This window comes from Homo sapiens, chromosome 14 (assembly GCF_000001405.40).
Source record: "Homo sapiens chromosome 14, GRCh38.p14 Primary Assembly".
In the NCBI taxonomy this organism is placed as follows: Eukaryota; Metazoa; Chordata; class Mammalia; order Primates; family Hominidae; genus Homo; species Homo sapiens.
This window is the reverse complement of record NC_000014.9, coordinates 97,557,054-97,583,705: the sequence shown is the minus strand read 5'-3', so window position 1 is coordinate 97,583,705 and position 26,652 is coordinate 97,557,054. Positions and strand designations below refer to the sequence as shown.

Here is a 26,652-nt window from a genome sequence, read left to right as displayed (position 1 = left end):
GAGAGGGCAGGAAGTAGACTGCAACATATAAGCAAGTGACTTAAGCCAATATACAAGGGGCATGCTAGAAATTAGCACCAAATGCCCAGGGAACCCGTCAGCCTTGTCTGCATTTAATGTAGTACTTTCAGAGAGTTCTAAAAAATTTAATACTTATAAACTCAAGGTCCTCAGGGGAGGAAAAGAAAGATCAGAGGAGGAAAATAAATGTTAGCAAATGAAAGGTTCTAGAGGAAATCTCTTTCTTCCCACTGACTGGCTGAAAAGAGAAGGGAGAGCTCCAGCCGCCGGCACACGCTCCCCAGGGCCAGTGTGTGGGGTCAGGCTGTAGAGCCTTTAAGCAGGCACAGCAAAGGAACAATCATTAGCTCTCACCGGAGGGCCCAGGCCCCTGGTCTCCTCACCCTGGACTTGGTACACAGGGGTCTCAATGCATAGTTGTCATAGTGATTTATTTTCTTACTCTAGCTCCCAGGACTTAGATTTGGTCTTTGCTCACCTAGGTTTGCTCTCTCAACATTCAAGACAGTAATCTGCCTTCCTAAATAGGGCCAGCTTGTATATTTAGAATGCGTACCCTGCCTTTATTGGATCTTTAGAATCTATCCTCCAGTGCCCAACGGTCCATAGGTTTCTATCAAAATGAATGGAATTTGGACAATATGATTTCAAATCATGTTTCTTCACTTGACACTGTGTAATCCTAGACAAGTTACTTAACGTCTACCTCAATTGGATCATCCATCACGTAAAGAGAATTCTTACTAATAACAAATTATCTTGCTTCATTGATCCCTCACTGTGTCCTAACCTTTTATTAAGTACCTTATATCATTCTTTAGATGCAATTCTCAAAACAACTCTGGGGGAAAGATAGCTTAGTAGATTATATTATTGCTCAGAAATATATACTCTTTCCCCCACTTTGTGTCTAGGAAGCAGAGTCTACTTCTCCACTAAATGACTCTAAGTTTGGTCATGTGACTCAGTTTGACCAATGGGCCACCACTATTGTAATGTCATCAGAGACTTCAAAAGCACTTTTGAGATGGAGCCTGCTCTCTTGCATTTCTGCCATTGCCATAGGTAGAATATGCCTTAGCAAGCCCACTTGCCCCACAAAAACACAGAACACGTGGAGCAGAGCCACCCACCCGATTCAGAGACCTGCAGTGAGAATAAGACCCAAGGCAGCTGCCCCTGGAATCAGAACCCTCAGCAGAGTCCAGCCTAGATCAGACATGCCCCAGCTGAATCACAGATGCATGCATGATAATAAGTGGCTGTGGCCTAAACTGCTGGATTTTGTGATGGTTGGTTATGCACCAAAACTAACGAATACAATAGCATTATTATAATCCATAAATCATAGACAAGCACAGTGGGGAATAATACAATTAAGTAAAGTGACCAAGGTCATTCAACTAGTAAGAGGCTGAACCAGGCCTTGATCTATTAATCACTCTGCAGTATTGCCTTCCTCTGTTTTGCCTCCTTTATAATGTGATCTCATCTGATATTGTTATGAGAATAAGAAACACTAGTGCAAAACACCTTACCCTGTGCCTATTAATTTATTGGGGATGCTGCTATATGACAGTCACTACCAGCAGAGCTTTGCATTAATTATAGCAATAAAATATTGTCCACTCTGGTGACTTATGGAATGATGGGGCAGTTCTGTGCAGATCTATATAATTGTCCCCAGTGGACCATGGGGCAGCAGAAATATGTCCTGTGCATCTTGGAGTGGCCTGGGCTACTACTGTGCCTAGCACAGGGTAAGCTCCAGAGATACTTGCTAGAAAAAATGTTTTAAGAATTAGCTGAGTATTTGGGTGCCTCTTTACAGACAAACAGCTTCCAAGAAGACCTGTGACAACAGTGAAACTTAACAGCTTTCTAATCTAAATTTCTTGTCTCTCTGTTATTGCATTCACTTCCCTAAAAAGTACATATCATTTTTTCTCTTTTTGCTTGCCTCCTTTATACTCACAGACACAACCACACATACATACTATTTTGTCAAAACAGTAGTTCAACAATAACATACTGCACCTTGGCACACTTGCGTCCTTGCTAAAATTACACCAAGCAAAGTTTGTTGTTGGTTACATTTTTAAAAAAGACACAATATCCCATCTCATCAGCTTCAAGTTAAAAATCACTCTGAAACTTGGGCTGCAGCATATAGCACCGAGTGTGCACACACACACACACACACACACACAGCCTGTATTTTGCACCTCATGAAGTTCTGTCATATCAGTTGCCAACACAGAAGGGGCACATGTCTGAGTTTCTTCGCTGCTCCTAATTGCACTGCAACAGGAATGCTTGCATCTTCTGCCTGGGAGGGCTGTGTTATTCCCCAAGGTCCAGAGAGAGTGCCGCTGCCTTTGTTCTTTGGCTTGGCTGAGCGTGGTGGTTAGACATGCCCCTTACTTCCTGCAATGTGCCAGACAGGAGCTTGAGAGATCCATGTCCTTGGCAGTGCTGCAGCTTTGTCTGTAACACAAAGAGGAGAGGCTGGGATGATGGGTGAGTAATTCCTGCCTTGTGGACCCGCAGCCTGAGAGTATCAGCTAAAGCAGAGGTCACACCCCTGCTGTCCCTGGTGCTGAATTTAGCCTGTGACTATGACTTGTTCAACCTTATTATTTTTTCATTTGATCTAATATTTCAAATGGGAATTTTACATCTACAGCCTCAGCTTCTCTTGAAAAGTTGGAAAATGAGGCAACAGTGGGCTCCATTTCTGCTTGTAGCCACAGCGGCTGGAGCTGTCAGGGGCAGAATCCTTCACACCTCATGGACGCTCACTCGCCATCAGGCACGACCCTAAACACCTGTCATCTCCCTTCAGTAGGGCCTTGTTTATTCTTTTGTTTTCTTACAATAGAATACAATTTCCTTTGTCTGCTGTGTCGCTATCTATGGTAGAAAACATAAAAGATAAACTAGAAATACCATGTTTTATGAAACTGTGAATGAACACATTTCTTTGTGAGAGTGGAGATGCTCCTAAGTATTTAATATGAAAACCAGTGCCACCCATGTGTGGGAATACCTCCTTGTGTACTTGTTCCTCAGAGCTCTTTGTGGCCTTCTGATGGTGAATGCCTTTCCTACTCCCATTGGCAGACAGGTGGCCCCAGTGAATAGGGGGCAAACTTCAGTCCAAATTATGTGTTTGCAATTTCTCAGCCCTGGGACTTGAGGAAAGTTACTTCACTTTTGTGAGCCTCAGTGCTTTTATCTATGAAAGAAGAGTGACAGAATCTAACTCACGAAGTTATTGGGAAGAGTCAATGAAATGATATGTATGGCTTACTAAGCAAAATTTAGGAACACAGTAAATCCTCAAATATATATTTTCCTTCCCCTTCCAGGAATAAACAAATAAATAGAGAAAAAGACAAAAGCAGCAGCAACTATGAGATCTTGTGAAACTTGAGTAAATTAAATAATTATCATCAAAGTAATTTTTAAACTGTATTCGCCCTTTTTGCAATATTGAATTAAATCTATGTTGAAAAAATTTTATACCACACACAGACATGCATATGTATGCACATGCACACTGTCGGGGCAGAGACAGGTCTTCCCCAGAAATCAGCTTCCTTCTCTTCCTCTGCACATACTGCACACAGCTCTTCCATGTTTTTAAGTTTCCTTGGCCACAGGGCTACTTCTTGCCAATGGGATGGACCCAAGTGATTAGTGTCACTTCTGCCAAGTCTTCTAAGAAGCAGTGGGTCTACTTCATATTCTTGTTCCCGTTCTCGCAGCTCAATGCAGTTGAGGAAAGCAAGATATTAGGGGAGTTCAGAGCCACAAAATAGAACGTTATTGGGTTCCTGCATCATAACATGAAGACAAACTGCCTGATGGCCAAATATAACTATCTTGGATTTTATTATTATAGGTGAGCCTTTAAATATGTTGGGATCTTTTTGTTTCAGTAGTTTAACTAGTCTTAATGAATGCTTATGGCATCCACACAGCACATGGTTTATGAGACTTGAGGTCTCCTATAGAACATTGTGACCACCCATCGAAGAACATTTGCAGTTTGCAAAGGTCTTTGGATCACATATGAAATTGCCAGTGAGAAGATTTTTCAACTTTCAGTTATAGCTATCATTGAATGGAAGTTTCCCATTAGTCAGCCAGACAGTCAACAAATATTGATTGAACACTTATTTTAGGAGATTGGGAGTCAGGTTAGAGGAATGAATAAGAAAGAGAATCATTGCACTCAGGGGATTTACATTGTAGTGATAATTGCCTGACCAGTTTTGATCATTCCATCTGGCCCTCATTGACTTTGGCCTCATCTGCCTTAGTATATGATTAACATCACAGGCCCTCTAGTGTAAACCTGCATTAAAATACCTCTGTGGGAAAGAGAGTCATAAAAAATAGTGTGCCATAGATTTGCATCCTGGCTCTCAGTTTCATGTTTTTCTTTCTATATCCTCTTCTTTGTTAGAGAGGGTTGAACCTATAAACTACATTTCTCAGTCTCTAGTTACTTGACTTTAGCCCTGCTCTGCCAATAAGAAGCACTAACATAAGGTTAGAAGGCAAGTGGGAGACTGGGGCTGACAGCAGATCTCAGCAATACTGTCAGTAAGTCCAGCAGGTCTGTGTGACAGCAGGCACCTGGGATACTGTAGCTTTGATGGAAATTACTGGGCCCTCTTGGGGATCTGGGCAGCAGGAACTCACAGACTGTCTCCAAGCACTTCTGCCAGGATCAACCAGTCCCAGCCATTTTCTTTAAAAAGACTTCACTCTAGTTAAGATGCAAAATCCATGGACAAGACTGATTGGCTTAGATCTAGCTAAGACCCACACCTTGGCTAGAGAAGGTCTAGCTACTCTCAAGTACAGACCCACCGGACCAGATCTACTGGAGGAAAGGTATTGTCTGCAAATGCAAGACAGGATGTTAATAATAGAAGAAAAACAAGAACATTGATGGTGACTTAAGACATAAGTCAAGCCATGTTACTACTCTGCTCAAAATTCTGCCATGGCTCCCCAACCTGTTCAAGGTTAAGTCTAACCCTAGCATGGCCTACAATAAGTCATGACTGGCTTCCTCTCTCCTTGCACTTACAGCTGCTTCCCACGTCCTGCATTTAAGATCCAGAAACACTTGTAGTTTGCTAAACATACTCTGCTGTGCCCCAGTCCTGTGCCTTTGTCTGTGCTGTCATCTCTGCCTGGAGCACACTCACCCTCCTCTCAGCCTTCCGCACTCCAACTTTTGGTTTTCGCTATTCATGATTTAACCCCTAGTTCAAGTATCTTCTTCTCCAGAAGTTGTTTCTTTATTTTCTCTTGAGGTGATTTCAGTGCTCTATTTTTTTTCTGCATAGATGGTCTTATGCTTGTTTATATCATAATATTTATTAAACTATATTATAAAATCACCTCGGGACCCATGACGGACAACAATTTCAACAATAACAGTGGTCAACGTTAATTTATTCATTCCTTCAATAAATACTTATTGAACACTTTATTTATGTCAAATACCATTCCAGGCAGTGAACCAATGCATGTTCATTCAGTACCAGCCACTGTGAAAAGATTGTGTGTATATCATCCTTAGAAGTATCTATTAACATCAAGGGCAATCCTACAAGGGTGATGCCAGTATTAGGCCCAACATAGAGATGCAGAAACTGAGGCTTGGAGAAGATAAGTAAACAATTCAGCAAATAAATATGAGAGTAAATAAATATGGCTGTGTCTCCAACTATACTATAGGCTCTCTGAGAGCAGAACTTGAATCTCTTACTCGCTCTATTTCTCAAGTGCTTAATATGGTATATGGCTAGGGTGATCCCACATCTTAGTTTCCCTAGTATAGTCATTTAATTTAACCTGTTTTTACAACATAATTATGAGTGGTACCACCTTTTATTCTCAAATGTGTCCAGATTTCCCAATGTTTGGCTCCTAGTTATCACCATATTAATGTTTGTTAAGCTGAACAGAATTGACCCCAGGTATAGGAAGAAGTTGAAATTAAGAAGTAGACCTCATCCCAATATCAGAACTCTTTTCAATTAATTTCTGAAGGGAATTAATCAGTTATGAGTAGACTTCATTTTCAAGCCATCAAAGAAAAGCAAGCCATAGATAATCTGACTCACTTGGCTGGGAAGAGACCCTTCCCTTATCTACTTCATCACGGTCATTTTAGAGATAAAGAATCTGCACCCAGAAAGGTCAACTGAATTGTGATGAACGGGGGAAAAATCCATGGCTGGAATCCTGTCTTCCACACAGAGCCTAAAGCTCATCCTGGCACTCATGGACCTCAGCTTGCCACCCTCCTTCATGCCTCCTGGTCTTCGTTCATATTTCTTCTTTCAGGAGCATTTTTGCATATACTGCAAGTGTTTGATGACCTAGAGAAATCCCACTCATTCTTTAAACTTCCACTCCTGTGGCCCAAAGGCTCAATCCTGTGTCTTCTCTCCTCCTATTTCTAAGATTCACCTCTTCCTTCAGGTTGCTCAATGACAACAGAAAAAGTAACTCTCAGGGGCTGCTTTGTCTCTAGAGGGAAGCTCCCTCAGGGCAGAACTCATACCCCAGATATTTCTGCAACACAGCCCAAACCCTGCCACCACCCTGGTACTTGGCCTGAGCTATTATTGTGCTGAATAAAATAAAATATAACTCTTAATTTCATTATTATTTCTAAATTGCATATTTCAAAATAAAACTTTTGCTCTCTGTTAACATCATGACTTTTTTCTCGTTACAGATTTAAGATTCATATTCAATATATTTATGATTCATAGGCTGTTTAATTTCCATGGTTCTGCTTACAGATGTTCACTGAATACCATCTTGGTGTCAGGCAAAGTCCTGGGTCCTGCAGGGCCTCCATCTTTCCACTGGGAGAGTCAAGGAGGGAAGACAAACCAGTCCCTAAATGATTTCATTGTGCTGTGATACTTTTCTGCCAGAAAATCTGCAAATATGTTACATGTTTTTCATTACCATAGAAGACGTTTTTCATCACTGTAGAAGATAGGCAGTAACCTATGTTGGAGAACTTAAGGAAGGCTTCATTGAAGAAGTGACTTTGAACCTGTTTGCTGAAGGATGAGCAAAAGATTTCTGTGAAAGGTGAATCCCTGCAGGAACTATTTAGTCAGTCCATGCCAGAAAATACTTGGGACCTTTTAGTTCATTTTTGAGTGTTGCTCATTTTATTAATCACTAGGGTCTAGTGACTAATTTCTACCAGTCTACATGACTTACTAGGTGACTTTGTACACAATTGGCCAATAATTTCAGTTACCTTCTAGATTATAAAGTGAAGATGCTCTTCTGGGATTTTACTCCCATCATGGATGTTTGGTAATTTCCTGTCTTTCACGTGGTAAAATGAAAGACCCTCCCCAACTCTCCAGCCAAGGCCCAGCACTATCCCAGCCAATTGCAGAGTCTCTTACTGGTTGTATGACCCAGGACAATTCATTGACCTTTCTTGAACATCAAGGTTTTCATCGTTAAAGTGGGGATAAAAAGGATGCCTACTCATTAAAGTTGAGCATTAAATGAGACAAAGCACAGAAAGATCCAGGGTACTGTCCAGCACACGTTTCAGTGTTGTGCATGTGTTAGTTATCAAGCAAATAACTATGTCCATCCTCACCATCACCATCCTCATCATCATCATTGTTATCACCATCATCATCATCAGTCGTTACCTTCATCATTGTCATCATCACCACCATCATTGTTATCATTATTGCCAACATCCTCATGTCACTATCATCATCATCGTCATCATCATTGTCATCACTTTCATCATCATCTTCTTCATCATCATGGTCATCATCACCATCATCACTGCCATCATCATCATTATCATCATTGTCATCATTATCACCATCATTGCTGTCATCGCCATCACCATCGTCATCAAACATTATCATCACCGTTGTCAACAGCAACAACAACATCATGACAACTGCAAACTGAGCACTTATTAACTTCAGGAGTCATGCCAACAATGTATACACTTTATTAATACAGCTGTCTCCAGTATTACCCATTTGAGAAACAAGGACGCTGAAGCTTGAAAAAGTTAAGTCATGTTTGAAAAATTAAGTCATGTTCTAAAGTAGTAAATGACACAGAAAAGGCAAATGTGTCACCTATGTCTACATAAGTCTAGTCCCTTATGCACAAGGTCTTTGGTCATCCCAGATGCTCCATGAATCCCACTGAAATGGAAATGCCTGAACCACATCGCTCACCTCCAGTTTCACTGAGGTTCTTCCCACAGACCCCAAACTGTTAAATTGAGTGAATTTTGCCATTTCCTGGTGACATGGTTTGGCTTTGTGTCCCCACCCAAATTTTATCTTGAATTATAATCTCCATGTGTCAAGGGAGAGAACAGGTGGAGGTAACTGAATCATGGGGGCAGTTTCCCCCATGCTGTTCTCCTGATATTGAGTGAGTTCTCATGAGATCTGATGGTTTTATAAGTGTTTGGTAGTTCATCCTGTGATCAATCTCCTTCCTGCTGCCTTGCTTCCCCTTCACCTTCCACTGTGATTATAAGCCTCCCCAGCCATGCTGAACTGTGAGTCAATTAAACCTCTTTCCTTTATAAATTACCTAGTCTCGGCCAGTTAGTTATAGCAGTGTGAAATGGATGAATACCCCTGGTGTTAGTGGGTGTCCGACTGAGTTGTCACAGAGCCCTCAGCCAGCCTTCTGGCTTCTGGGTTGGGGAAGGAGGAGATTCAGCATCAGGACTCAGATTACAGAGAAAATTCACCAGTTCCCACAAAACTCTGGAGATAAATCCCCTACAGATTCATGGCTGAGACCAAAGTTGGACAAAGTTCACATGCCCAGACTCACTGGGTTACCCATGGCAGTGCTGCCTGACAGGTGGAAACACCCACCATGTGCCCACCCCTCAGCAATTGTAATTATCCTTTATAATCTACACGATCCTCCAGCTTAGATGAGGAGCTATCACGTCCCCTTATCTCATTCAGTCCCCATTCAGTTTAGGCATCAACAGAAATGCTACCACCTCTACAGGAGAGGAAACCAATGCGCAGAGGGTTAAGCAACTTGCCTTGGGTCACTCAGCTACCAGTCCAAGTGCTGAGGCATGCCATGGCTCTTCTCCCACTACAGCTGTCCCATCAGGGAAAAAGGATTGTCAGAGGCCACCTTCCCCACCTTCCTCACAAGGGCCTTCTCCTTGGTGCCAGGGGCCAGCTGACTGAGACAAATCTGCATAGCTTCCAGCCCTAAGAATAAGCTTTTCCTTAGGGACACTGCAGGACTGCCTTGGCATCAGGTCCCACTCTCAGATTCTGCTGCCTGAATCCAGAAAAACAAAGATGGAAGAAATTGCTGCATCATTCTTATGGACTCATTTGTGTCTCCCCAAAATTAATACTTTGAAGTCCTAAGCCCTAGTTGCTCAGAGTGTAACTTTATTTGGAGGAATGACCTGTAAGAAGGCAAGTAAAGTTAAATGTGTTCATGAGGCTGAGGCTGTAACCCAATTGGACTGGTGCCCTTATAAGAAGAGAAAGAGATGAGAAGAGTGTGCGTGCACAGAAGAAGGGCCCGTGAGGACACAGCAAGGAGAAAGCCATTTGTAAGCCAAGGACTGAGGCCTCCAGAGAAACCAACCCTACCAGAACCTTGATCTTGGACTTTCAGCCTCCATAATTGCGAGAATATACATTTCTCTTGTTGCAGCCATCCAGTGTGTGGTATTTTGCTTTGGCATCCCAAGCAGACTGATACAGCAGTAAACGGCAATGTGGCTGGGAAGGCATCAACTTATGGAAGCACCAAGGGTGTATTTCCAGGAAGGGAGTCATACACACAGACCCACTTGAGGAAGCCTTACATTCATAAGGCAGAGAGCCCCCCTCGAGGCTGAGGGGCTCTTGGCTTAGTCTTTCTTTCCCCTTCCCCATCTATCCTAGACACAAGAACACATGCCCGACCAGAATCTGGGGACCTTGAGCCTATCCAGGCCAGGCCTCCCGACTGCTTGTGTGTCTGTCAAACCAGCCTTCTTTCCCTGAAAAGGACATGTCAAAGCCATCTTTCAGGAGTTTTCTTCCCCTGACAGAAATCAGCAGGGTTAGAATAACCCTGCATAAGTTATCAGCTCCTAAGGAAAGAACATGAAAAAGGCCCTTCTATCACTTAATGAAAAATAGCTTCTTTTTTGGACAGAACTTCATAGGCCTGCAATCAAGCCATGGCTCCCCTCTCCCTTCCCTGACGTGCCGTGCAGGCAAAGCAAGTCGGCATCTATTAATAATATTTTCTCCAGCTTCTTTCATTTTTCTGCATGTCCTACCACTGTCAGGCCCCGTGATGCAGCGGAGCCTTTATCTCGTCCGAGTCTGGCCTGTCAGGGTGATAAACAATTCTAACAAGAATCAGAATAAAGATCTTCCCAGTAGACTCTGCCGAGAGATAGAGGCTTTTCTCATTTTCTCGACGGAAAAAAAAATTTAATCTAGCGGCTCCGGCTTTTTTCAAGCGTCACATTCAAAGAGATGCAAATTTGTCAGAGCGGAGACCCCAGCTGACTCAGAGCACTGCATGAATGTCAAAGGGGGAGGCAGTGTCTTTGACATGGCTGCCGGTTTTTTGTGGGGTTGGGGGCGAGGAGCTCTCTGCTGAATGTTAAAAAAAAAATAAGGTTTTGCTTTGTAGTGAATGTTTCAACAATTTTTGTAAGTTTTCTTCTGAAATTAAAAAAAAAAAACTGCCATTGGGAGGGAAAGGAGAGGAGGAAAGGAACAAATAGGGGTTGGGGTGAAAGAGGAAAGACAACAGAAAAACAACTCCATTGAGATGTCAGGCTGGACTGCAATGCTCAGTAAGGGAGCACGTGTGTGAGAGGGGGGTGAGGCTGAAGAGATGAGTGAGTTGGGATAAATGAATGAATGAGCGATTGCATTGTAGAATGCACAGAGCTCAGTCTTTTGTTAGGTTTGGTTATTTTTCTAAGTTCATGGAAACTATTCAGATCTTCCTCTGGATACTTCTTCCCCCATTTGCCATTAACACGAAAGCTAATGCTCTGCTCTGTTGGTTGCCTGGGTTCAGAGCCCAGGACAACCAATTCAGCTTGAAGGGTTAAGTAAATGAGGCAGGAGACCAAGCAGAAGACACTGGAAGGTTGGGGTACTGATGGGCTAGAGAGAGGCTGGGAGGTGGCCAGCACTGGCCTCCTGGGAGACTTGGAAGCTTGACGGCGGCCCAGGGTATACCACAAGCACCTGCCCCCTGCTTGGCTCCCAAGGCCTTTGTGGAGTCTGTAGCCCTGCTGAGCTGGGCTGGGCCTTGTGTCCAGTTTCTTGCAGATGGATTGCACAGCTTCCTCAGCCCCCTCCCTTCAGCCTACATCTCAACCTTGGGACCCCAGAGCTCTGTGGAGCACTGGAATCTTCTCCAAGACTTTTATGGTTTTCTGAGTCAAGAGCATCGGATGCCCAGGCTCTCACAGCCTCTTCTTCCTCTTTATTTTTGATCTTGCTGGTTTCTCCATCCCCCAGCTTGCCTCAGAATCATGTACCTTAGTCTTTCCTCACCACCACCGCAGGGATCTACTTCCTCATAGCACAGCTAGCACACACCATTGCATGTAGCTGGCCTGAATTCAAGGCCAAGGTTAAACGAGGGTTTTGATGATGGAAGGAGGATGCAGTCACACTAGCAGAGGAGGCAGTGATGTAAACTCAAATCTCAGCCATCTCTTGGGTGCCCATAACTCACTGGTCACAGGTCTGACCTTCTCCAGAGTCCACCTGATGCCTCTCTGCTGGCGAGTTCTCTGAGAACCTGGCGTGCTAATGCCCAGCCTTTTTTAGTAGACAAGAGAAAGAGCCGGATCTTCTGTTAGACAAGGAAATTCAATTCTTCTCAGCCTCTCAAAGCCTGCGCCCTGTTATCTTTCTGGAATTGATCTATTAGATAGTTACATTTATATTAGCGGGCCCTGAATGTCCTTGCCCTCTCTAGTCCTTGCTCTTGCCATCAGGAAGTTTAGTGGGAAGTGGGTGTGTGTACATAGGTATGAGGTGGTTGGGTGGTTTGAGTGAGGATTAGAATAATACATGGGACAGAATGTGTATATTGAGGAGGGGCGGGCTCTTGAGGTTCTTTGATTAAGACAGTTCTATGAAACGGGGATCTGTCTCATCTTCACAGAAGCACTTGGCATCCACCTTATCGTTATGCTTTCTCGCCTAGTGCCAGCCTCCTCCTAGCGCCAGCACAATATGTTGCAACAAAAAGCATTAGTTCCAGATCCAAGTGATGGCCTCCTTCAATACTAGGTGCTTGCAATAATGAGCAGCCTTAGATGTTATCCTTGCTCCCACCTCTCCTCTCTGAGACCCTGGGCACTGCATTAGATGGCTGTCATCTTGCCAACATTTGGTTACCAGCCAGTTAGGAGAGAGAAGCCTTCAACAGCCTTAAATGATTCCATTCCAGAGAAAGGGTTCTGGCAGCGTACAGAGCACTCTGGAAGGGAAGGTGAGCAGAAGCCCATGGCTTTGTGAAATAACCAGTTACTGCAGAGTCCACACTACATTGTGTAAGCTGAGCGGGCCCAGCATGTAGGAGTTGTAGACATTTTCTCTGATTTTGAGAATGTTTAAAAAGTTAAAACTTTGCCCCTTAAAGTTTGGGAAATTTGTTGACAGGTGACACTATTGGCTATTTGGGACCCACATTCTGCGAGGAAATCAATCATCACAGAGTGTTTCTCAGACTGGTGGGAGGGAGTAGAAAAGTGAAGGGGGATCTGAAGCCACCCGTTTAATTCAACATCTGCATGGGACAGGCTAGCACAGAGCTAGGTTCAGAAGCCTAGATCCACAAGCCGTGATTGAAGACCTCTCACTGCTAGGAGTCGAGTGTCCTTAGGAAAACTCACTGATCCTCTGATTTTTAATTCCCTTGGTAAAAACAAGTAAACAGACAACAACAAAAATCACAAAACATTAGAAATCCCTGTACTATTGGCCCACAGGATTATGGAGTTGGAAAAGATATGGAACATGCTTCTCAATCTGTGACGTAGATGCCAGTGCATCCGGCTTCTTTTGGTTTCCCTTCTCCCCTTTTCTCATCCTGATATTATTTCATCCCCATGACACAACAAAAATGCCATTACTGTCCCTCTTTTCCTAGGGGAAAATTCAATCTCTTTTTTCTGTGTTATCAAAACATATATATGTTTCCATATCTGTACCAAAGACTGCTACATTCTTATCATCTCCCTTGAGTTAGGTCTGAAATCGTCGTGGTCCCTTTCTGCAGGTTGGATGCTCCTCCAAGACTCATATATTCAACTTTTGCCCGTGGAATCTCGCACAGAGGAGGGACTGATAAAGGATCACCGACTAAGATTAAATCACATTTGCATGGGCAAATGATAAATGTCATTACATGCAATCTCAGAAACCATATAAAGTAGCTCCCTAAACATCTCTTCATGTGACACCCTGGTCTGGAAGAGAGACAATATTAACACTTATTGACTGTATGCTTAGATGAAGACTTTTCTGTAATTATTTCATGACTATTAAAAATGTCACTGAGCCCAGTTATTATTTATGTTTTCCTCAGAAAAAAATCAATAAGTTGCCTTAGATATTTGATGAAATTTAAGCAAAATCTCAGTTGTTAGTCTTTCATGTGGCAAAATAATCGTTTATTCAATCAAGAAGTGTTTATTGTGGGCCTGCTACATATCAGGCATTGGATTAATCACTAGGCATAAAACCGATGAACAAGATAACACAAAGTCTACCTGTAATGGGCTTATATTTTAGTAGAAAAAGATATTTTTAAAAACCTAAACCACAAATATCAGTAAAATGATCATGAGTTGTGCTAAATTCTATAAAGAATAAAGTATTGGAACAGAAAAAAAAAAGAACAATCAAAGAAGCCCTCTCTGAGGAGATCATTAAGCTCAGCTCAAAAGTTGAAAAAGAAGCAAGCAACAAACAGAAGAAAAAGGGATATTCCAGGCAGAGGGAATGGTGTATGGGAAGACTCTGAAATGTGAAAGAGCATTGGTGTATTCAAGGACCAGTATGCATACTAATGTGACTAGGGGGTGGTAGATGATGAAGGAATTATGTGAGATGAGTTTGGAGATGCGCCCAGGGGTCAGATTGCCCAGAAGACATATGGGAAGGCCATGCTAACAGTTTGAATTGTTTCCCAAATACAAAGAAAAGGCATCAGTGGTTTTCATCAGGGAATGGTGTGGTCCAGTGACATACTTCAAGGTCACTCTTCCTGTGGTGTGCAAAAGGGACAGAAGCACCAAGACAGGAAGTCAGGAGACTATTGCAGTCATCTGGATAAGAGACGATGGTGATCTTCGTGGACTAGTTGTAGTTGCAACAGACATGGAGAGAAGGGGAAGAACTTGAGAGTAATGTTAAGATTAGGACTGACAGAACTTGTTGATGGACTGGATTTGAGAAGTCAAAGAAATGAAAGAATTGTGGCAACTCCCAGGCTTTCATCTAGAACACTGGATGAATGGCACTTCATTTATTAAGTTAAGACAAACCAGAGAACAGGTTTCACAGATGAAAAATGAAGTTCCACTTTAATAAGTTATGGATGGATAAGTTACCTTAAGTCTTTTCCTTGCTGTATTCTCAATGCCTGGAAGAGTACCAAATATGTAGTAAGTAATGAGTGCATACTTACTGAATGAAATAAGAAGGTCTGTGAGATTCCAAGTAAGCATTTGGATATGACGGACTAAAGTTCATACTAGAGATAAAAATTGAGACTCCATGGGCTTAACAATGTAAATAAGCCAAGAGAGTTGGATGAAATGGAATAGGGAAAGGGCATAGAGAAGGGGCTGAAGATCAAGACCTAAGCAGGACCACCTTTTAGATAAAAAAGAGAAGGATTCACAGAAGAATCCTGAAGTGCAGAAACCACGGTGACAAAGGAGTATGACAGTAGCCTGTGATAAGCAGGAAGTCAAGAGGGGAGGGTGTTAATATGATCAGCCATGCCTATTGGCTCTGAAATTCCAACGAAATGAACATCATCACTCACCAAACATAAATTCTCAAATCAAACATTAGAATCAAGTGAAGTCATTTTGTCTGAACATTCTTTTGCTTTTACCATATGCTAATTATCACAAATAGTAAAAAGACTAATAATCCATGAATTGCAACTCAGGAAAAAAGATTAATAATCCATGAAAAATATTCAGTTATAGTAATAATAATACTCAACTCTAATTCCTCAGGTGATATAGGGGAATCTGTGTAGAATCAAAAGCCAGGCAGATCAGAGATCAAGTCCAAACCTGGCCTCTTCCAGGTCTCTGCATTTAGGCTGGTGAAAGCTGAATTTCATTATAAAAATGATACCTCACTTTCTTATTCACAGAATATGTACAAGAATAAAACATGCTAGAGTATGTGATAAGATTCTGAAACTTGGAAAATATACTGCAAATATTAAGGGTCATTTACGATCATAGGAAGGATTCCATCCTCACTTCTTCATTCACTTGTCTGATACCTTGAAGCTCTGAGTTTAGTCCAGGAACAGGACAAGGAGTAAGGCACAGTAACTGCCTTGAAATAGTCCACAGTCTGGCTGTATTATCTTCATTCTGTTAATTTTACAACCTAAAGGGAGCATTCTAGATTTCTGGAAAATGCGTACGGTAAGGGAAGTGGCAATATGACACAAAGCTAACATTAAATGCTATCTAAAATGATGTCTCATGCAATTGGGATCACAACTCACTAAGAACCCTCTCTTGATAAAATAAATGCCTCATCTGTTTTCCTGCAATGTTTTGCTTATTCTTCTAGGCTAGCTCATGGTTTCAGAGATTTTGCCCATTCTCAGTTAGAACATGATTGCTCTTGTGACAAGATCTGTGTCTTAATAAGAGTCTGGCATGGTATTCTCTAAATATTTTCTGTATTGAACGGAATTTCAAAAAGCAGAAGATCTGGAGGCTAATCTTGAGGTTTTAAGTTGAAGGGGGAGAAAAAGACATTTCCAAAGGCCCTAATAAGCTTGATAAAGCCCACAAGGTGGAGGTCAGAAAAAGACCTAGGAGTGATTAGGACATTAAAAACTGTTAAAGAATCTTGATTGATGGGAAAGATTAATTTTCCCAAAGGGGAAGTTCAGTGGAAAAACCAGACCAAGCTTGCCTTTTTAAGTTCACTGTCTACTTGTGGAGGCCAATGACTCTCAGCTGCCACCCTGGATGCAGTGAGCACACCATGCCTCAGGCAGCCACAGTGAGCCAGCCTGTGACTAGAATCACCTCCACATCCACCTCTCACTGCTGGGAAAGAGGCAGAGCCCACAAAGACTTCTCTCTGAAGGTGCTGGAGGATGTGCCAGATGTGAGATATGGAGGCACCACTTTCAAAGACGAGAAGCCTGGGAGGGCTTCAGACCAGACCCTCAGCATTGGCTCTTGCCTAGAAAGTTGTTTCCAGACCACATATGACTTAAATAGAGGACAGTCCAGAAGATTGTAGTCATCTGAGCCTCTGCCACCTAGAACTGGGGCATCACCAGATTCCTGGGTTAGGAATCAGGGAAGTCTTTACTGTTGGCAAAGAAGCTCTTACCTGGAGCTCCCAGCCCATCCTCCTGCCCATGACATAAAGAGCTGCACTGTTCTCTTCCCTGGCTTCAAGGAAACCTCTCTTCCCTGGCTGTAAGACGTGTCCAGGTCGATGATTCCCCTTATCCTGGGCTCTCAAGAGGTAAGGCCGTGGCTCCAAATCTTTGGTGAGAATACGATTCACTTGTTCCTCTAACATTAAAAACTTAGATGCTTGGGTCTCAGCTCCAACAGGTCTGCAAAGAGTCCATGGAATACACAGCTTAAGCAATTCTGACCCTGAGCCTTTGGGTGGTACCTTGAGCAGCACAGGGGTGGCATGGGGGCCAGTGGTTAAGAACTCAAACTCTCATGTTAGAATGCCTGAGGCTGAGATCCTGTTCTTTGTGATACTTGATGCATGACTTTGACCAGCCATTTAAACTCTCCACATTTTGATGTCCACGTCTGTAACAATGGAAACAATTGCAGTATCTGCTTCCTAAATTTTTGGTGGGATTGAAATACAATAACCCATGCAAAGCATATACCCCAGTGTGTAGTATATAGTAGGTAGTAAATAAATGGTCATTATTAATATTGCATCTTCAAACAAATAAAGCAGAAGCAACTGAAACAGCATCTTGTCTTGAAAGTCTGCTCCTGCTACTTGATTCAGAGAGTATTTTTATTTTTATGTTTTTCATAACTGACTTCATTAGAAATAGGCTATAAATAGGCTGTTGTCCCACAGGATCTATTAACTGGGATAGTGCTTGGTGGTGCTGCTGTGTGTTTGGTGGTACTGTAGTATCTGCAGTTGCAATATCACCAGCATCCTTAGATTAGCTGCAGGATCAATGCTGAGTTCCAACATTCAATCACCAATACAATCCCAATTCACTAGTACAAAGGGGAGCAAGAGACTTTCCCTATCACCAACACCAACTCACATTCAGGGCTCGATAACAAATTCCTATAGTCACTCATTCAACAAGGATGAATTGGACCTCTCCCATATACCAGGTTCTGTGTATCAACAGCCACAAACTAAAGAAAGTGGTCCTGAACTGCAGAAAGAAAGAGTGAGAGTAGCTTTCTGTCTTTGTTACTGTGGAATTTCCTGGGGAGAGAAGGACAAGGAAAGTCAATGGACAGTTAGATATTTTTTGTAGTTTTTGTGAAATGTCACCTCACTACATTGAAAGGAAAAAAACAAACTGGTATTGTCTTAATTGTATGTTAGGTGAAGACTTTTATCCTTTTTAGGAAAATGTGATGTGAGGGAGAAAAGTAGAATGGTGATTCCAAGCTATTTAAAGAACTTTTGTTATGAGTTCAGGATGGCAGGCTGAACAGGTGACTAGTCTACTGCTCATGAAAAATATTAAAAATCACTGGGAATATATTTCAAACAAGGCAAGAAAACAGAATGAGTTTGTGAAAACAATCAAGAGTGCCATTAGCAGACTAGAAATGTTGAAGAATCTCTGTGTTTTTTACTCCCTGTATCTGCTTTCAATCATATCAGGAAGCAAAAGGCATTCACACACACACACACACACACACACACACACACACACACACGGATGTTCATGGAGGCAGAAGCACTTCAGGAGAACTCCACGCATGGAATACGTGGAATACTCCATGCATGGAATACGCAGATGATACAGAAATGGGTGGAAATTCATGAGCAGAAATACAAGAATACTGTTCCAGGCAGAGGAGATGAGGAAGACTGAAGCCCTGAAACAGGCAAGGCCAGGCATGTTTGGGAAAATAATGGGGGATCTGAATTGATTAGTGTGTAGGACACTCCAAAGTTCAGTCTGTCTTCCTGCACTCATAAAATCATATTCTGAATTTCTGATGTGGCACTCATAGCCCTCCACACTCTGTCCCCAAGATCCCCTTCAAGTGTGGTTCATCAATGTATTTCCCCAAATACTTTTAAGGTTCCAAATGTACTATACCACTGGTCATTCTCCAAAAACAGTCCATGTACTCTGGACTCATACTCTGTCCCTTTGAAAGTTCCACTGATCTTACCTCTGTCTTTGAATGGCTCCTCCTTCAAGTCCCATCCAAACACCACCCCCTCCCAGAATCTGTCTTCCATATCCTGTGAATGAAAAACTCATCCTTTCCTTCTGCCAACCTGACACTTTTCACCTCTATATGCACTGTGGACATCTTGAGAAAGAAGGAATGCATCTCTCTCAGCATGGTGCACATAGTAGAAGCAAATAAAACAGCATCTGTAATGCAATAGCTACTTGGTATGTATTGTGGGATAAATGACTAAATGTTTGCTAATAGACAGTGTGTGAGATGCTTTTGTGAAAGGTACAGGCTAGAGTCTTGTCAAGAAAGGCCTTGAGCGCCATGATGAGAAGTGTTTGATTAATGAAACGGCAAGGGGGAACTATGGCAAATCTGAGTGACAGTTGAAAAATTCAAGAGCAGTCAGAATAGAAACAGCAGAGCCCCTAAAATAGGTGCTATGCAAAAATCTACCCACGTGGTGAATTTCTGATGAGAATGAGATTTCAGAAGGTGGACCTGGGTTAAGTATTTGTTCCCATATAAAAGTTGAAAGAGAAAAAGAAAAAAAAACTCTGCAAGTGCAAATACAAAATCTAGCAAAGCTGGCAGGGAATACAACTTGAAACATGGCTGTTTTGATGGCTGCATAGAAAGCCAAGTGCAAGAACAAACTCCTTGAACAATATGGCCCTTGTTAGGTACACAGTTTTAATTAAATAGGGAGACAAAGTATAACACCAACATGTTAAAGGTAGGCACACCATGTGAGAGGCATCTGATCAGGATCTGGGCTTGTTTATGGTATTCTCGTCAATATAATTGTCATTTCAGTGCTGTGTTTATTTTTAAACCCAAGCTTTGTTTTGCATTATGGGCAAGTGAAATATTTGTTTTCAGCCAGGTTTCTGTGTGAAATGTTCATTCAAAATTCTAAATATAATGAGTAAATTTCTCTCCTTGAGAATTGGCACCATTTGGGACTTGGAGGCATAGTTTGTAAGTAAAGGAATAGGCCAAAAGGGATGTTTGGAATGACCCATTTACATATAGGATGTCTTATAAATTAAAACCCAGGGTGGGGAGGGATTGGAATTGCCTTCACAGGATGAGTTTTGCAGAGGCAACATCATATAAAGAAGGCAGAAGATGTGAGTCTTGGCCCTGGCTCTGTTCTTCTGAGTGTGCTCTTGGGAAACTCACTTCTCCAGTTGAGTCTCAGTGACACACACTGACGACATCACCACCATAGGTATAATGAGCCCTCACCAGCCAAAACCCCAGAGCTGTTCTAAGGAGCAGCATGGAAATGTGTATGTAAAGGCCCTGGAAACTGTGGAGAGAGGTAATACCCTTCCTTCTGGCTCTCAGGAATAGTCTCGTCCAGGATTCTGCACTTCATCACCAAGGGCACTGAGGTCCCTTTGTATTAATCTATTTTGCATTGTCATAAAGAAATGCCTGGGGCTGGGTAATTTATAAAGAAAAGAGGTTTATTTGGCTCACAGTTCTGCAGGCTGTACAAGCATAGCACCAGCATCTGCTTAACTTCTGGTGAGGCCTCAGGAAGCTTATAATCATGGTGGAAGGTGATGGGGAGCTGGCATGTCACATGGTGACAGGGGATGCAGGAGAGATGGGAGAGGTACCACACTCTTTTACACAAACGGATCTCTCATGAACTGGTAGAGCAAGACCTCACTCATTACTGCAAAAATGGATCCAAGCCATTCATGAGGGATCCGTCCCCAAGATCCAAACACCTCCTGCCAGGTCTTGCCTCTAACATTGGGGATAACATTTAAAGATGAGATTTAGAGCAGATAAATATCCAAACTGTATCACCCTCTTATACAGATGATGTGCTTGAACCTCTAAGAGGTCTGCTGTCAGGTCTTGCTCAGGGAAGGATGCACGGATGGTAGAGATCAGAAAAGAGAGCCCAGATAGCTTTCTCCTGATGCTCACCTCACTCCACCACGCTGTCTCTGTTGCTGCCTTCTCCCTCTCCAGCAAACCCAGGGGACATGGAACTAAGAATCAGATAAATGACTTGAATGACTGCAGGCACATGCTACCCTACCCTTTTTCTGATGGAATTTTGTGTCACTTGTCTCAAAAAACAAACACACAAAAAAAACCTTTAGTTTTCCTAGGAAATCAGATTTATAGTCAATGATGAGCTTCATGTCTCTGAAAATTTCTACTCTCACCTGAGTATAAACATGAGGCACAAGATTACCACCTTTTGCTTTCTTTCGTTCTTCCATCCTTTCCTCCCTTCATTCTTTATTCTCTCTGTCCCTTCCTCCTTCCTTCCTCCCTCTTTCCTCCTTCCTTCCTCCCTCTTTCATTCCTTTCCTTTTTCCTTCCTTTTCTCCCTTCTTCCATCTCTTCCTTCTAGTCTACAGCTCTTCACTGAACACTCTTTGGGACCCTCCAAGTTTCATGGTGCTGTACATCTCTGCGTTCCTTCTCCATGGGTTTCCCAGGGCCCCTCACCTCCAGAGCTTGGCTTTCCTCTCATGTTCCCCTGTGCTTCACACCTGCCCTGCTCCATGTCTTGTGACCTGTGTACCTGTTATATGTTCTTACCACAGAACCTTGCTTGCTCTTTCCTCTCCCCATCTGGTCCAAATCCTGCATCTCCAGAAAAATGGTACCTAAATTTGTACCATTTGTACAAATGGGATGGGTCCTTGCTTTATAAAGTCACAAACCAAAGCTACCTCTCTTTCAGTACATGAAAGTGTGTAGCTTACAAGTAAGAGAACGATCTCAGGATTCAGACCAAATTCTGGTTTGGTCGTTTACTAGCTCTGTGATACAAGCCAGGAGCATTATCCTTCTGCACTTCAGGGTGGTCTTCGTAAAGTTGTTCTGATGATTAAAGATTGTTACACCCCTCAGAGTTCCCAGCAAATAGAAACAGACAGCTAGTTACATTACTAGGAAGAGAGCAGAGGAGATGTGAGCAATGCCATAGGGTGGTAGCCAAGGCAGGCGCTGCACAAGCCACTGAGGGAGGAAGCCTCCGAGCAGGGGAGTGGAGGGAGGAATGATGGGAATATGAGTGCAATGGGGATTGGCTGCCTGTACAGTGAAGACCTTGAATTGCAAGCTCAGACCTTTCAAGGAGTAAATGGGTGGCTTACAGCAAGTCATGTAACTCCCGCAGTCTTGTATCTTCCTTCCTCATCCCAGCCCTTCAGGCCACATGGGGTGGGGAGGAGCTGGCTGGGAGTGGAGGGTGGGAAGGACCTTGCAAGTTCTGAAGTGCTGTGCCCATTCCTGCCTCACTATGCACTTCCTTAGGTTACCAGTTCCGATTGCCCTTGTATCCTTTAGTTCTTCTCTCTTTCTTTAAGGAATTTGTCTTTTGTTCTTCTCTCTTTCTTCTAAGGACTTTCCTCTTCTGTACAAGCCTCTGCTAGAACCTGGCTTCCAGCTTCCTCCAGGAGAGTTTGCTCAGGCATAACCGGCTAACGCAAAGTGCAAGAGAGTGAGGTCCAGGGTGCAACATGGTCTTCCTAAAAACAGAGTGGCCTGGAATTGGGTGAATGGGAGTGATGGGAGAAATGCGGGGAAAAGGGAATTAAGAATATTTGTTTATCATAAATATGTTACCCTTACAGCCCACTTGAGAAGGGCAAAGTGAGGGCTTCTGGCACCAAGCCTTTCCGAAGCTGGAGATGAACTTGGCCACACCCACCCTTTCTGCAGGCAGGAGAAACAGAATCTGCAAATGCTCCGATGAGGTGTTTCTCTGCTGGAGCAAGGAGAATAAATACTTTACCTTCAAATGCTTCAAGCAATTGTGTTTTCCTAGTATCATCAGCCACGGTTATGAGCAGTATTAACTTTTATTTTAAAACTCGGCATGCATTAGAGAATTGCTCTTACTTGGAAACGGCTCTGCCTCACTCGGCAGTGAATTGCAATTAAACTTCAAGAGAAGTTTTATTTGGACACAGCATCCCCCTTCCAAGTGCCCCCTGTAAATGAATTTTGAAACCTGCAGTCGGTGCCCATTAACTGGGAGTGTGGGGAAGAGCTGTCTATGATTAATGAAAATAACAGCTTGCCTAACAGCATACATTAATGTGGGCTGCATTTTACAATATTTCAATTAATTATAGATTAGTAGATTTAAAAGGGTCAGGGACCTCACAGATCACCTACATGACTGTTTTCTACCCACTCGGGAATCAGGAAACCAGCACCCAGAGAGGGTGGGGAATAAGTGCCTAAAGGATTAGGACATAAATCGTCAGCAACAGAGACCAGAAGGAACCAAAGCTGAGATGCAGGAAGATCAAGAATGTGCCCGTGGAAACTTTCCCACGCCCTCTCACTTGGAGTCTCCTTCAGCCTCAAAGTTCTTCCTTGCTCAAAACTCAATCCAGTCCTGATGAAAGCAGGACAAATATCACCCCTTGGGCCCCTGTGACTGATGTTCAAAGCCTGCACTGCACAAGTCCCCAGTCTGAGTTGGTTGGAATTATCAGTGGATACTTACTGAAGTAAGATTCCGCCTTTCAGGACAAATGAGCTCCAGGCTTCATCTCCATGTCCTGCTCTCTGATTCCTTAGTGATCCTGGAACTGTTTGGCTTGCTCTAGAGTTTTGCTACATCAGGATCAATTGGTAAGAATTACAATTCTTATTTTGAGCTTAATTGTGGCCTAGACTGCTGGGCTCTACTGACGACTTTCCCTGGAAAAAGTTTCCAACACTCCTGTAGACTATGTTGGACCTGTGTGCAAAGCCTCTAGAGCTAGGACAGTTCTACCAGCTTCTGTCCTGTCTGGTATCTTGCTCATCTCTCCCCACAAGAGCAGAAATGCACAGCACCCGTCACACCTCAAGGCATACCAACCTGAGCTATGACATCAACACTTACTTCTTGTGCTTGAATAGAGGCTTACAATTCATACTGAATTTGGGAATCCACCTGAGTTGGAGATGAAGACGATGCTATGTGTTCAATTATCGTGTCATGTCTTCTTCCTGCACCCACAATCCTTCCCAGCCTCTCCTTTATGGTCAGGGCATGGCCTGCACTTACTGCAGCTAATGGAACATCAGCACAAGTGATATGTATCTCTTTGAAATAAAGCAGTTAAGAGTCTGTGTATATGCTCTTTCCCTCTCTTGGGGCTCTGGAAGCCAATTATTAAGAGGATTGCATCCCAAGATGGAGAGAGACGGAGAAGAGCCCCCACCAATCATCATTACATTTTGCACAGGAAGAAATAAGAGTCTATTGTGCCAGTCCACTCAGATATTGTGCTTTGTTTGTTACCTCAGCACAGCCTAACCCATCCTGACTAATGTACAGCATAGCCTCTGCTCATCCTTTAACTGACCTTTTTCCTTATATTCTATTCTCAGTTCCCTTCTTTTCACATTCTCCCTAGACACACCTATGTAGTTCCACATCCCCAACCACTGTCAATAGAAGCACACAAATCCAGATCACTAATTTGCTTTCTGTTTTTGGGCTTCATACATCTACATTCAACTGCAACCTGGTCAGTTTCATCTGGGTATCTATTAAGAACCTAATGTCAATTTATCCAAAATTTAACTGGCCATCTTCCTCTGACCATTCTTTTTTCTGTGTGATGAATCTATTGGTTTTACCCACCATCCCTTAAACAAAGACCTGGACGTTATTGTCCCTTCTTCCCTGTCTCCTTCATGGCATTAAATCCTCCAAGTTCTATCTCCAACATAATTCTTGGAACCATTCACTTCTTTCCAACTTCATTGTCATTCTTTCATATTTACTTCATCTCTTACCTAAATTCCAATAAGAGCCCTATAATTAGTTCTCATTCTTACTCTTTCTTCAAGTCATAAGCTACAGCAGACAGATCTTGGACAGACAATCTCACCCACTCCCTACTTAAAGTTTCTTTAGTTCTCCCTTTTACCCTTAAACTCCTTGGCAGTCATTAAGGCACTTGGGATGGGACCTCAGTTCCCAGCAAAGAACCTCAGACTGTAGCCTCCGAAATCAGATTCCCCGGAACCGAGGCAGACCTCACCTGGGAAAATCGCTGGACGTGTGGGAGCCTCATTGTTCTATCTATCAAGGACAATAAATAATGCTTATTTTATTGCATTGATGTGAAGATTGAATCAGATAATTTATGGTCACATAATTGACAATATTGCTAAAAACATTAGAGCTGTCATAAATAATGATTAATAATGAAAAGGATTACTAGATATTAGCCGCTCCCCATGTGTCAGCAACTGTGCTAAACAGTTAACACCCATGACATCTTATTTAATTTTTGCAACACCCTATCTTTCCTGAGATATAGACAGATTAAGGTGCTTCTCTAAGAAAACACCAGTAGTAAGTTGCAGAGTTGGGATCCAAACCCAGGTCTATCTGATGAGATATTTAGTGCTCTTTTAACTCTACCAAAAGTGTGATTGGAAGAACAAATAAACAATAACACTTGATGTCCAGAAATAAAGAAATGACTTTAAAAGATATTAGGTCATTTATATAATGTTATAGTACAGGGTTTCCACCTTACACACCTCCCTAAGGCATATTTGCATAGAATGAAATATAGATACATGGTAAATGGAGCCTCCTGGTATACTATACAATCACTAAAAATCACATATAAACATATAAAGTGACTTTATGATAATGTTTAAAAAGCATATGTTATAGCATAGCATAGTGATTTAGAGCATAGCTTTTAGGGATAAGATTGCCTTGATCTGAGTCACTGTTTTCCAACATTCTGATTATGTGACCTTGGACAAATTGCTTAACACTTAAAAATAAGGAAAATAATAAAAACCCATCCTGTAGGGTTGTTTTGATGACAAAGCAAGGCAATTTGTGCATAGAGCTTAAAAATTTCCTCATCAATTGTGCTTGGATGTTACCGTCTTCATTCTAATTAATTATCACCATCGTTATTGCAAGAGATGAAAAGATCAGGAAACAAAGTTGTATTTGCTTTCTATGCTTACCTGTATCAAAAAACACAAAGACACAGATAAGACTGGAAAAAATATGCTTATGTGTTAAAATAAGCATAAGAATGAATCTCTGATTTGTTTAAGAGTGATTTTTTCTTCTTTTTATTTCTGAATTTTTCAAATTTTTGATGATCAATATGGGCCACTTTTAAAAGAAAAAAAAAGAACACTTTTCTGTGGCTTTAGATAAGGAATTTTGTCTTCTAACCTCAGTGATTTCTTTTTTTAAAGGAAACATCTTTGGTCATTAAATTCACTTAAAAGCCCTGATCCATTTTTGATGATCTGAAATATAGTGACAGGAACTAAAATCAATCCCTACATTCGAGGTTTGCAAAAAGCGTAAATTATTTTAGAAGTCGTGTCAGGTAGAGTTTATTCCAAGGTTTGCTTGCAAATTTTAATCAGAAAACACAGAAGGTATATGCAGCTTAGATTGAAATATCCCTTCACCTCGTATTCAGAGCCAGGTTGACTTACTGTTTGCTGGCTGATAGGACTGGCAGAAGTTACAGCTTGTATGATAGAGTCAGCCTGGGCAGGAACTGAGGGAAACACATAAAGAAACATTTATTTTAAAAAAGTAAATCAACCATAAAGATCCTCCCAGCAGACCTGAGAGATGGAAGCCTCTCTCTCATTTTCTCCTTGGCAAAATTTAATCTATCGCTGGGGTTTTTCAAGCGTCATATTCAAAGAGATGCAAATTCGTCAGAGCTGAGACCCCAGCTGACTTTTAGCACCTTGTGAATGTCAAAGGGGCTTAAAGGTTGAAGTGACTTACCTCCTTCCATCCTGACTAATTCAAATACAAATGTGTGTATATGTGTGTATGTGTGTGTGTCTCTCTCTATATATATACATATATAATTTTTTTAAGGAGAAAGTCTAAAACAGAGCACACATCT

General features: G+C 42.2%; 1 long non-coding RNA gene across 1 annotated transcript in view; it reads right to left on the bottom strand.

The window, feature by feature from the left end:
* Nucleotides 1–2,322: 2,322 nt before the first annotated feature.
* LINC02325 (long intergenic non-protein coding RNA 2325) overlaps nucleotides 2,323–26,652 on the bottom strand; it is a 122,568-nt gene continuing 98,238 nt past the window's right edge. Inside the window, exons 4-5 of the long non-coding RNA NR_110166.1 lie at nucleotides 26,225–26,289; nucleotides 2,323–2,508 (exon numbers count right to left, since the gene is read on the bottom strand). This is a non-coding gene — a long non-coding RNA (long intergenic non-protein coding RNA 2325). The remainder of the gene's footprint in view (nucleotides 2,509–26,224; nucleotides 26,290–26,652) is intronic.